Source organism: Homo sapiens, chromosome 3 (assembly GCF_000001405.40).
Source record: "Homo sapiens chromosome 3, GRCh38.p14 Primary Assembly".
Taxonomy (NCBI): domain Eukaryota; kingdom Metazoa; phylum Chordata; class Mammalia; order Primates; family Hominidae; genus Homo; species Homo sapiens.
In genome coordinates, this window is record NC_000003.12 from 114,098,789 (window position 1) to 114,111,898 (window position 13,110).

Genomic DNA, 13,110 nt, shown 5'->3' on the forward strand with positions numbered 1-13,110 from the left:
TAATAAATGTGTTTCTACAAAGTCATGTCCTGATTTTGTTTATTTATTTATTTTATTTTATTTTTTTGAGACAGTCTTGTTCTGTTGCCCAGGCTGGAGTACAGTGGTGCAATCTCAGCACACTATAAACTCTGTCTCCCAGGTTCAAGTGATTCTCCCACCTCGACCTCCCTGGTAGCTGGGTCTACACGTGCATGCCACCACGCCCAGCTAGTTATTATATTTTTAGTAGAGGTGGGGGTTTTGCCATGTTGGCCAGGCTGGTTTCGAACTCCTGACCTCAAGTGATCCACCCACCTCAGCCTCCCAAAATACTGGGATTACAGGCATAATAGAGCCACTGCACCCAGCCATGTCCTGATTTTATTAACACAATTTTGGGAAAAGTGATTTAATCTTGACATCTAAGAAGATAATCAGGGGAGTAGAGACCTTTCCTAATGACATCCCATTTACTAAAAACCTTTTTGGAGCAACATTTGGAAATAGAGTTCAGGAAAGGAACTCAGACTGGGCAGTACATTCGGTTGAGTATTTCTAATGATAGCATTGTATATATGCTTTAAATTTTAGAAAATAACAAAGTCATTTAAATCCATGTCTCAGCTGGATGCAGTGACTCACACCTGTAATCCCAGCACTTTAGCAAAGGCTGAGGCAGGAGGATCTCTTGAGGCCAGGAGTTTGAGACCAGCCTGGGCAACAAAGATAAACCACATATATACAAAAAATTTAAAAATTAGCCTGGTGATGTGGCATGCACCTCTAGTCCCAGCTACTTGGGAGGCTGAATTGGGAAGATTGCTTGAGCTTAGAAGTTGGAGGCTGCAGTGAGCATGATCACACTATTGCATTCTAGCCAGAGTGACAGAGCAAGACTCTGTCTCAAAAATCAATTGAGGCCAGGTATGGTGGTTCATGCTTGCAATCCCAGCACTTTGGGAGGCCAAGGCAGGAGGATTGCTTGAGCCCAGAAGTTCAAGGCCAGCCTGGGCAACATAGCAAGACCTTGTCTCTATTAATTTTTTTTAAATTAAAAAAAAAGCCATGTTTTATGAGGAGGTCAGGCTTAACTTACTGGAGTTTTTTTTTAAAATGTGATTTTGAAGTCAGTGATAAGATCCTAGCTAAGAAGCCACATTTGACATGTTCATTTGGAGATTTTCAAAGTTGCCATTTTGTACTGTTCACCAATTTGGATGCTCAATATTTGTTGAATGGATAGTCTATTCATTCAACATGTATTGCCTCTTACTATGCCCCACATTTTTTGGATGGTGGAGATTCAAAGGTGAAAATGTCAAGGTTTTTGCTTTTGAAATCACAGCTTAGTGGATGAAATAAATACTTCATTACAAAACAGCATAATAATCACTTTGCTAGTGGAATATACAAAGAACTATGGTATGAAAAGGTGAAAGTCTTTCTCACCTTGTTTTCTCAACTAAAATAAGAATATTCTGGTTGATAAATATGAATCTACTGTACTTATGGGGACAATAAAAAAAAACAGTTGAATTGGTACTTTAAAACACAATATATAGGGTGCAATGCCTATAATCCCAGAGCTTTGAGAGGCTGAAGCAGAGAATCTCCTGAGACCAGGAGTTTGATACCAGTCTGAGCAACAAAGTAAGACACCATTTCTACCATCCCCCACCCCAAAAAATAGCTGGATGCTTGTAGTGCAGCTACCATACAAAAAAATAGGCTCATGCTTGTAGCCCTACCTACTCAGGAGGCTGAGGTGGGAGAATTGCTTGAACCCAGGAATTCAAGGCTACAGTGAGCTATAATCACGCCACTGTACTCCAGTCTGGGCTACTGAGTGAGACCCTGGCTCTCAATAAAAAAGATGCATAGAGCTTTGCTTTACCAAGGGAATAAAATTCCAGGCCACTAATAAAATGGCCTGAAAATTCCTCCCAGATCTGACCATGTTCTTCCCACAGTGCCCTTTTTCCTCTCTGATTATCTTTCCATCATTCATCCCATTATTCACAATTCGCTGACTGACTAGTCTATGGGAGTAATACAAAAGAAAGGATCATTGCCTTCTCTGATAAAACAAAATGCAGACTTCCAAAGTTTAGTACCAGAAAGAAAGTGATATTCCATGAGGGAATGGTTAACTGATCACAGTAGCTCAGTCTTCTCACTCTGAGTGTTAACTTCCCATTGGGAGGTTTCATATTTGGGTTAGCGCCATCTCCACCATACTAGCTTCTCCCCTAGGAACACTCTGATTCAAGCTGGGTTGGAAACATTTATTTTCTTCCCTGAGAGTAGCTGAAATTTCTTCATTTTTTTCATATAACAGAGTAGATTTAGAGCCACAATCTTTTTTTTTTTTTTTCCTCAGCAGTAGGGTGGCAGAAATATCATCCACAATTGGACGTCTGCTTCACAGTCAGAGGAAGCATTCTAGCCATTGTTATAACCTCCCCTTGGGTCAGAAGTGATTGACAGTAATAACAGCTAATCCTAATTCCATTATCTCATTTGTAGTGGGTTCAATGAACAAGACCCTCTCTATTCTTCAACAGTAACATTAAACAGAAAGCTGGTGTCATTTTCTTAGTTTCAACCAATCAGCTCATAGCCAATCTTGTGTCTTCTGCATTCTTATTCACTCCCCATACAGACATCACTGGATTATTTTGATGCAAATCCTAGATGTTATATAATCTCATTCATAAATATTTCAATATGCATCTAAAAGATAAGGGCTCTCTTTAAAAACTTAAACACAGTACTGTTATTATACCTGAAAAGAAATAATAAGCTCTCACTATAACCAAATATTCTGATGGTATTCACGTTTCCTCCATCATCTCATAATTTTTTTCTGTTAGTTTGTTTGAATCAGCATCCATATGGCTACTCAGTGCTTGAATTGCAACTAGTCTCAATTGTGATGTGCTGATAATGTAAAAATACAACACATTTCCAAAACTTAACAGAAAAAGATATAAAATATTAATTATTTTTACATTGATTATAATCAATCAATCAATTGTAATTTCAATGCTTCAATCATAATTTCAATGATTTTTGAATATGTTAGATTCAATAAAAATATGTTAAAATTGTTTTCACCTATTCATTTTTACTTTTTTAATGAGGCTAGTAGAAAACTTAAAATTATACATGTGGTTTGCATTATATTTCTGTTGGATAGTGCTAATCTAAAGGATTGAGCAGGTTCAGGTTTGATTTTTTTTGCAAGACTGTTTCATAGGTGATGATGTGTTATTCCATCTGGAAGTACACAATGGTGGGCCATCTTTTTTGTGCTAAGATTGATCAGTGGTCCAGGTATTACAGCTGGATACATCCATGTTAAGTACATCATCAACTTTAAATCCAATGATTGAACATTTATTTTTAATATATTTGATATCATTCTATTTCCTGGTTTGTATACTGATACTTAAAAGCCTTCCATTTATAATTTTCCATTTAATGAAAATTCCATATGAATATTATTTCAAATATACTATAGATCTCTATATATGCTTTGGACTAATGCTCTCCAACAGAACTTTCTGTGATGAAGGAAATGTTCCACATGTGCACTGTTCAATATAGTAGCCATATGTAACTACTGAGTACTTAAAATGTGTCTAGAGCAACTGAGGAGCAGATTTTAATTTTAATTAATTAAATCTAGATTTGAATAACCATATGTGGCCAATGGCCACTGTATTGGACAACAGCTCTAAACTCACTAGCCTTCAGACTTTCATTAAAAGCTCGAACTAACATACTTTTTTCCCTTCTTGGAAGCTTCATACATATTCTCTGCTTTGCATGGAACAATATTCCCCAGACTAATTTCAAGGAAATCTCATTTCTATCCTAGAGGCCTCTTTTACTTCCTCAGATTTGTTTCTTACTTTCTCAGAGTGATCTTCCCTGGCTCTTCAATCTACAGTAACTTAGTGTTTCCTGTTATTTTTTTCTCATAAAAGCCTCCTTGTTTAATATTGACCCAATTTGTAATCATAGTTATACACTTATGTGTGTGCATATTTATTTAATGTTTGTCTTTTTTTTTTTTTTAAGAGAAAAGGCATACAAATTTATTAATATACAGGGCTGGGGACCACAGAATGATTACCCCAACCCCTCAGTGGGTTACAGAAGATTATATATCCTTTCTCAGAGGCAAAAGAGGAGATGGGTAATGTAGACAATTCTTTGAGGAACAGTAAATGATTATTAGGGAGAAGGAATGGACCAGAGAGACAGAAATTAACTTGTAAATGATTCTCTTTGGAATCTGAATGAGACCAAGAGGCCAGCTTTATCTTGTGGAAGAGTCCATCCAGGTGTGGTTGCATTCTTCAGTCTCTGCAGTAGATAATGGGGTAACAGAAGGCCATTGTGCTTCTTTTGGTAAGAAGCTTTTTTTTGTCAGATCAGGAAATTCCAGAGAAAGTCCCGCCTTGGCAAGTTTACTTAGCGCTGGTATACTTGGTGATGGCCTTGGTGCCCTCGGACACGGCGTGCTTGGCCACCTCCTCGGGCAGCAGCAGGCGCTCGGCCGTCTGGATCTCCCTGGAGGTGATGGTCGAGCGCTTGTTGTAATGCGCCAGGCGGGAAGCCTCGCCCGCGACGTGCTCAAAGATGTCGTTGACGAAGGAGTTCATGATCCCCATGGCCTTAGAGGAGATGCCGGTGTCAGAGTGGACCTGCTTCAGCACCTTGTGCAAGTACACGGAGTAGCTCGCCTTGCGGCTGCGCTTGGTTTCTTGCCGTCCTTCTTCTGCGCCGTAGTCACCCACCTCTTGGAGCCCTAATTGGGATCAGGAGCGGACTTTGTTGGCTCTGGCATGTCGAGGGCGCACTACAGGTCGAGGTGAACTAACAGCAGCTCGAGAAAACGGGAATTAATTTAATGTTTGTCTTTACTACCAAACTGTAAGTTTCGTGAGATTAGGACCATATTTGCATCATTCATTATTATGTCTCTGGGACCCAGCACAATGCCTAGTACATATTAGGACTTCAATAAACAAATGCAAAGTAGCGCATGGGGCTGCAGCCACAGATCTCCTGGGCTCTGGGTCTGGGAGCAGGCAGTGGCATCTGACACTTCATATCCCTTAAAGAAGACAAAATGTATTCTATGACAGATAGGGAACCAGAGCCAGGGACTAGAGTGTGACTCCCTGACTTGTTAGAGGAGGTTGGGAAAAATGGCCTTGACTATCTTCCTAGGCAGAGGCGGGCAAACTATGCACCCCAGCCCAAATCCAGCCCTCTGCCTGTTTTGGTAAATAAAGTTTTATTGGAACACAGTTACATACTTTTTTTTTTTTTTTTTTTTTTTGAGACAGAGTTTCTTTCTGTTGCCCAGGCTAGAGTGCAATGGCATGATCTCGGCTCACTGCAACCTCTGCCTTCCCAGTTCAAGTGATTCTCGTGCCTCAGCCTCCCGAGTAGCTGGAATTACAGGTGTGTGCCACCACACCTGGATAATTTTCGTATTTTTAATGGAGACGGGGTTTCACAATGTTGGCTGGGCTGATCTCGAACTCCCAACTTCAGGTGATCCGCCCACCTCGGCCTTCCAAAGTGCTGAGATTACAGACATGAGCCTCTACATCTGGCCAGAACACAGCTACTTTCATTCTTTTACATATTGTCTATGGCTGCTTTTGCACTACAACAGCAGAGTTTTAGTACACGCATGCACTGCATAACAATGTTTCAGTCAATGACAGACTGCGTATATGGCAGTGGTCTCATAAGATTATAATGGAGCTGAAAAATTCCTATTGCCTAGTTATGTCATAGCTATCATAACATTCTAGTACAACACATTACTCATTACTCATGTGTTTGTGGTGATGCTAGTGTAAACAAACCTACTGCACTGCTAGTCATATAAAAGTATAGCACATGCAATATGAACAGTACATAATACTTGATAACGATTATAAATGACTATGTTACTGATTTATGTATTGACTGTACTATACTTTTTGTTATTTTAGAGTGTGCTAATTTGACTGATAAAAAAAGTGTTAACTGTAAAACAGCCTCAGGCAAGTCCTTCAGGAGGTATTTCAGAAGAAGGCACTGTTATCACATGAGATGACAGCTCCATGCATGTAATTGCCCCTGAAGACCTTCCAGTGGGACAAGCTGTGGAGGGGAAAGACAGTGATATGGATGATCCTGACCCTGTGTAGGCCAAGGCTAATGTATGTGTTTGTGTCTTAGTTTTTAACAAAAAAGATTTAACAAGTAATAACTAAACTAAAAAAAATTTAAATAGAAAAAAGCTTATAGAATAAGTATATAAAGAAAGAAAATATTTTTGTCCAGCTGTCCAATGTGTTAAAAAGTATCAGTAAGCTAAGGTTAACTTATCATTGAAGACATAAACATAAAAATGTTTTTGTAAATTTAGTGTAGCCTAAATGTGCAGTGTTTATAAAGTCCACAGCCTACAGTCTACAGTAGTATACAGTAGTGTCCTAGGCCTTCATATTCATTTATCATTCACTCATTGACTAACAGCAACTTCCAGTCCTGCAAACTCCATTCATAGTAAGTGCCCTAAACAGGTGTAGCATTTTAAAAGGTACAGTAAAAATATAGGATAAAAGGTTTTTAGGACACTAATATGATTTTTTTTTTTTTTTTTTTTTTTGAGACAGAGTCTCCCTCTGTCACCAGGCTGGAGTGCAGTGGCACGATCTTGGCTCACTGCAACCTCTGCCTCCTGGGTTCACGCCATTCTCCTGCCTCAGCCTCCCTAGTAGCTGGGACTACAGGCACGCACCACCATGCACATTTCACACTGATCTCTGCCCTCATCTTCTTGTGGCATTCTCTCTCTTCTCTCTTTCTCTGTCTCTGTGTGTGCATGTGTGTCTGTCTGCAAACTTCCCCTTTTTATAAGAACACCAGTCAGATTATATTAATGCCTACTCTAATGACCTCATTTTAACTTGATAACCTCTGTCTCCAAATAATGCCATATTCTGAGGTATTGGGGGTTAGGGCTTCAAGATATTTTTTTAGGAGAGGGGATAGAATTTAACTCATAATGATGAAACAAACTCTAATCTATATAAAATTGAAGACTGAATTAGAAAGATGAAGAGAGTATTGAGAAATTCACCCAAAATATACCCCAGAGAGACAAAGGTGTGTGTGTGTGTTTGTGTGTATTTATTCTGAATACATAGATGTGTATTTGTTTATTTATCTATTTACTTCAGTTAAGATACATGAAGGATAGATTGAAAGGTCCCAACATTCCAGCATATCTAATAGTTTTATTGTAGAAGGCATTGGTGGCTGCCTACCCAGTTGCCATTGCTTTTTCGTCATCCTTAATAGCAGAATCTTGATTTTTCTTTTCAGGAAGACAATGTGCCTAACTAAAAATACTTAATTTCTCAGCCTCTCTTGCAACAAAGATAGTCATGTGACCAGTTCTGGACAGTGAGGTAGCAGCAGAAGTTCCTAGGCTGACCATTCTTTTCTTAGTACAAAGTCAAAGTCCCATTAGGAGAAAGTGCTTCACCCCATAGTGCTTTGCCCACTGCCCCTGACCTTAAGACAGAAGTCCCAGTTGATTTTTATAGAATAATTTAACAAACCTTCAACAAACAGATAATCTCTACCTTTCAAAAAATAGTGAGGGTGTTCTCACTCATAGGTGGAAATTGAACAATGAGAACACGTGGACACAGGAAGGGGAACATCACACACCGGGGCCTGTTGTGGGGTGAGGGGAGCGGGGAGGGATAGGATTAGGAGATATACCTAATGTAAATGACGAGTTAATGGGTGCAGCACACCAACATGGCACATGTATACATACGTAACAAACCTGCATATTGTGCACATGTACCCTAGAACTTAAAGTATAATAAAAAAAAAAAAGAAAAAGAAAAATAGTGAGGAAAAGCACTCAATTCATTTTATGAGGTTATTATACTTTTGTAACAAAGCTATTAAAAAAAGACCAGTATTTCTCATAAATACAGATTTAAACATTCTAAATAAAATGTTGTGTGTGTGTATACATATGTATATTATATATATATACATACATTATTTATATATATATATTTCCCCCTCACCCCATGGCCAAGATTAATTGATCCTAAGAATAACATACAATCAATTAAGAGGAAAAAATATGGTCAATGTAATAGATACAGAAAATAGAAAGCACGTTTGATAAACCTTATGCATTCTCATACTTACTCATTTAAGGGGAAAAATTAGCAGAATTAGTGTTAGGAGGAGCAAGTTGCTATTATATAAAGTGTTCCTTTTATAGATGACATTTGAGTAGAAGAGGTGAAGGAAGAAAGCCAGGCATGCTGATATCTGGGGGAAGAATGTTAGGAATATAGACTTTAAGATGGAAGCATGGGTAAGGCTTTTCAATTTATGTAGAAACAACCAACCAAACTCTTAGCACCTATGGATAGAAGACAATACTCTTAACTGCACAAAAAGTATCTATCAAAATCTTACAAACATTAATGATGAAACTTTATTACACTATATTGTCACAACCATTCTACATTCTACTGGACCTACGAGACAATGCAATAAGATGAGAAATAATGGAAGGTATAAAACTTACAAAGACATTCCAAAGCAGACCTTATTTGCAGTCAACATATTTGACTACATAGGAAATCTAAGAGAATCTACATGAGTTAATCAGAAAGTCATTGAATGCTGCTAGATCCAAGATCAATATAAAAAAATTGTATTTCTATATACCAGTAATAAGCAAATTGCAACTGTAATAGATAATGGTATATCATCAACAATGGCAATAAAACTGTAAAGTGTTTAGGAACAAATCATACCCTTTAGATTAGCAAATTAAGTAGTTAATTTAAAAGATTGAATACAATGTGGATAAATGGGAACTTTCATATACTGGGAATGGGAAAGTAAATTAATGCAACTGCTTTGGAGAATGCATTAGTCCATTTTCGTGTTGCTATAAAGGAATACCTGAGATTGGGTAATTTTTTTTTTATAAAAGAGATTTTATTTGGCTCATGTTTCCGCAGGCTGTACAAGAAGTGTGGTGCCAGCATCTGCTTCTGGGGACAGCCTCAGGAATCTTTCAATCATGGAAGAAGGTAAAGGCAGAGTCAGTGCATCATATGGTGAGAGAGGGAGCAAGAGAGATGGGGGGACAGCCCAGCACGGTGGCTTACGCCTGTAATCCCAACACTTTGGGAGGCCAAGGAGGGCGGATCACTTGAGGCCTGGAGTTCCAGACCAGCCTGTCCAACATGATGAAACCCGGTCTCTACTAAATACAAAAATTAGCCAGGTGTGACGGCGCACGCTTGTAATCCCACCTGCTTGGGTGGCTGAGGCGGGAGAATCGCTTGAGCAGGAGGCAGAGGTTGCAGTGAGCTGAGATCGCGCCACTGCACTGCAACCTGGGTGACAGAGCGATTCTCCCTCTCCAGAGAGAGATGGGGGGAAGTACCACACTCTTTTAAACAACCAGAACTCAGAGAGGGGAACTCACTGATCACCAAGGGTTTGGCACTAAGCCATTCATGAGGGATCCACCCCCATGTGCACAGTTCACAATAGGGTTGGTGCTCCTATGAGAATCTAATACCTTTGCTGATCTGATAGGCAGTAATGCTTACTAGCCTGCTGCTCACCTCCTGCTGTGCAGACCCATTCCTAACAGGCCATGGACCAGTAGGGGTCCGTGGCCGAGGGACTGGGGACCCCTGTTCTACAGAATGTTCAGCACACATGCTCAAGGATACTTATGCAAAAATATTCATTGTAGCTTTTCAAAACAATAAAGATTTGATAACAAAGTAAATGAATATCACAGGAAAATACTATGGTTGTGTAGCAAATAAAATAAATAAATGAACTACACTTACGTATATCAATTTATGTGATAAAAGCAAGTTTCACATAAAAAAGAATAGTGCTTAATATAAAGTTTAAAAGCATGAAATCCAATATTATAGAGATACATGTGTATGTAACAAAACATAAAGTACGATGAAAAGGGGTAAACATTTGGCCGGGCGCAGTGGCTCACACCTGTAATCCCAGCACTTTGGGAGGCCAAGGCAGGTGGATCATGAAATCAGGAGTTTGAGACCAGCCTGACCAACATAGTGAAATGCCATCTCTACTGAAAAAACAAAAAAACAAAAAAACAAAAAAACAAAAAAAACTACAAAAATTGGCTGGGCGCGGTGGCAGGTGCCTGTAATCCCAGCTACTCAGGAGGCTGAGGCAGGAGAATCGCTTGAACCCTGGTGGCAGAGGTTGCTGTGAGCCAAGATCATGCCACTGCACTCCAGCCTGGGCAACAGAGTGAGACTCCATCTTAAAAAAAAAAAAAGGGGTAAACATTTAATGCCAGAAAGGGATTTCTTATGGGCATGGGAGGAGGAAAATGTTATAGGAGTTTACATATATTTGTAAAGTATCCCTTCTTTTAAAAGATTTGAAATGACCAAATGTTAATGTTTGATAAAGCTATTAGATACAGGTATTCTTTTAAGTATTCTGAGCTTTTGATATATTTTATAATATTTTCAAAAGTGAGATGATCTTCCAGGAAGCTGACATTTTTTATCTCATGGACCACATCTAGTGTTGCAGAACTTAGGGTTTCTGCCCAGTGAGTACTCCAATTCTCTCTTAGTTCTCTATCTCCCCTTTGGGAGTTAGTTTGGTCAAACCTGTGTAATCACCAGGGAAGCACAACAAAAGCCAGCTATTTATTTGTTCTCCCTATGGCTTTTCTTTTTTTTTTTCCCCCTAACATGAATTAAAACTCGTGTTCTGGTTTCTATCCCCATGACGTTGCTCATCAATTGACATTATTAAGCAAATACTTCAAGAACTTTGAAATTTCTCTTCCAATTCCTCAGGGCGTGGCGATAATTGTGAGTGGAAAGACAGTGAGGTGGGATTACCAGGCAAGCTTTTGTTTTCTTCTTGATTGAAAGGATTTACTCCTCTTTTTAGCTTCTCATTGAATCGTTTCTTTCTAACAAGTATCTCACAGCTTTTCTCTCTCTTTTCCTAAAGCACAATTTAATTTATTTTTATCTGATAAGGCATTTTTTAAACTTCCCTTCTATGTCTACTCCACATAGAACAACTTTGCTTATCCTACAGAACCTTTGCGTCCTCATTTTACCTTCCTCTGCAACTCTTGAGCAAGCCCCGCCCTTGTCTCCACGCCCTCCATCTTGGTCTCCCAGATGTCTTTGTCTTTATTATATTTTCAAAAGTGAAACAAATCAGTTAAGAAGACAGTGATATTTCTGTCTCTCGAAAACCCATTTCCTTGGCCTTTCCTTTCTCTTTGTTTGGGTGGGAATAGGACAATTTTTGATTTAAAAAACTCAGAGTTCCCAGCTCAAAATCCTCCCTAAAGTTAATTCATTCCTGCCCAGTTTTATGTTCAAAAATCCTGTCCTTGATTTTTTAGGCAGCATACCTATGATTAAGCATACACAGTGAATATCCTTTTACATATGAATCATGCTTTCCAATGTATATTTCTTTGCACATTAATTTTTTCCCCAATAGTTCTGTGAAGTAGACAGGACAGAGAGAATTGCCCTCATTTTACTCCTGAGGAAGCAGAGGCATAGAGACATTTACTCCTTAGAGTTTGTCAGCTGAAAAAGGTAGACTTTAATTGAAGGCGATAGAAGCAGGACAGTTAGGAAACGGAAAAGCCCGGCTGCCAGGGGTTACGGACACAGGCAATTCCCTATGAAAGTGCTTTCTTCACTTGCCTTCACTCACCAGATTTCCTTGAGGCAGCGGGTGGGTGAGTATGCCTGGTATGATAAAGGTTCACTCCAATACATGAACAGAAAGTATTTCAGTTCAACAAAAGCAGAGCCTGGGAGAGAAACCCAGGGGGTTTACACCAATTCTGGAAGGAGGCAGGAAACAAGCAGAGGGGAAAAGGACAGAAGGAAAGTGAAGGGGGAAGGAGAGTAAGTGACAAAGGAGGAAAAGGTGTGAAACAATTTGCTCCTAGTTTATGAAAATTCCTCTTTGAAAATGAGATAAAGAAGTAATTATTTGCATCACAAATTAACTCTTCACTTCAAAAGAGTAGTTACCACAGGTGTGATTCTGCAATGTGAGACTTTAAAAGAACATGACTTGGGAGAGGTGGGAGATTTAAACAATAAAATCCTGATTATAATATAATAGGAAATAATTCCAGTGATAAAGGGGGAGACAGCTAAAGAAGGAGGTGGTTATACAGGGAGCTCTCTGCAGAGCTCAGGCTTTGAAAAGGACATGAACAGAAAGCAAAGGGAGGGGATTATAGATAAGCTTGAACACAAAAGACTATCATGAACCTTCAAGAACAGAATAAAGGAGGCTAAAGCTGAGCTTTACAAAAAAGCGCTAAAGGCTGCATTACTTAGAGTAAAGAGAAGCACAAACATGGAGCAACCTGCTCTTTGAGGAAGTAAGGTTGTGTAATGTCAACAGAAGTTCAGCAGTGCTTACTTTTTTTTAGTGTTCATTTTGCTTCTGTCTTCTCCTAGGTGCAAAAAGTAGTTGTAACTGACATTTCTCTTAGAGAGAGACTGTATTTGCGCAGAAGGAGCACACTGATATTATCCCACTAGGGAAAGGGACAGAGATCCCCAGAGTCTCAGCCTCAAAGATAGGAGAAGACTTAGGAGCTCCCTGGCCACATTTGAGAGAAAGATGGTGAAAAGCAAGTATAGGAGCAACAAAACCAGGAAGACAGTGATCTACCACACCCCCCTTCCCTGCTCTGCTCAAATCTTGTGTAATTCTTCTAAAACTTGTTAATTGCTTTGTGTGAGTGAATTTCCCATGGAAACAGAAGATGAAACTCAGCTTGGCTCCCTAGGGCACATGGTGAAAATGACAGCCAACTTTCAGATTAAGGAGCCAAAGGAAAGAGACGTAAGGATATACAACCTTCAATTTTTTCTTTGTTTGTTTGTTTTGAGACAGTCTTGCTCTGTCACCCAGACTGGAGTGCAGGGTGCAATCTTGGCTTACTGCAACCTCTGCCTCTCGGGTTCAAGTGATTCTCCTGCCTCA

General features: G+C 39.3%; 1 pseudogene, besides 1 other annotated feature; it reads right to left on the reverse strand.

The window, feature by feature from the left end:
* H2BP3 (H2B histone pseudogene 3) lies at positions 4,459-4,840 on the reverse strand (annotated as a pseudogene).
* Positions 12,131-12,632: an enhancer, noted in NCBI's record as "NANOG hESC enhancer chr3:113829766-113830267 (GRCh37/hg19 assembly coordinates)". NCBI's record gives its function as "activates a minimal SCP1, AML or CMV promoter by ChIP-STARR-seq in primed H9 embryonic stem cells {active_cell/tissue: H9 hESC(primed)}" and the evidence as "EXISTENCE:reporter gene assay evidence [ECO:0000049][PMID:30033119]".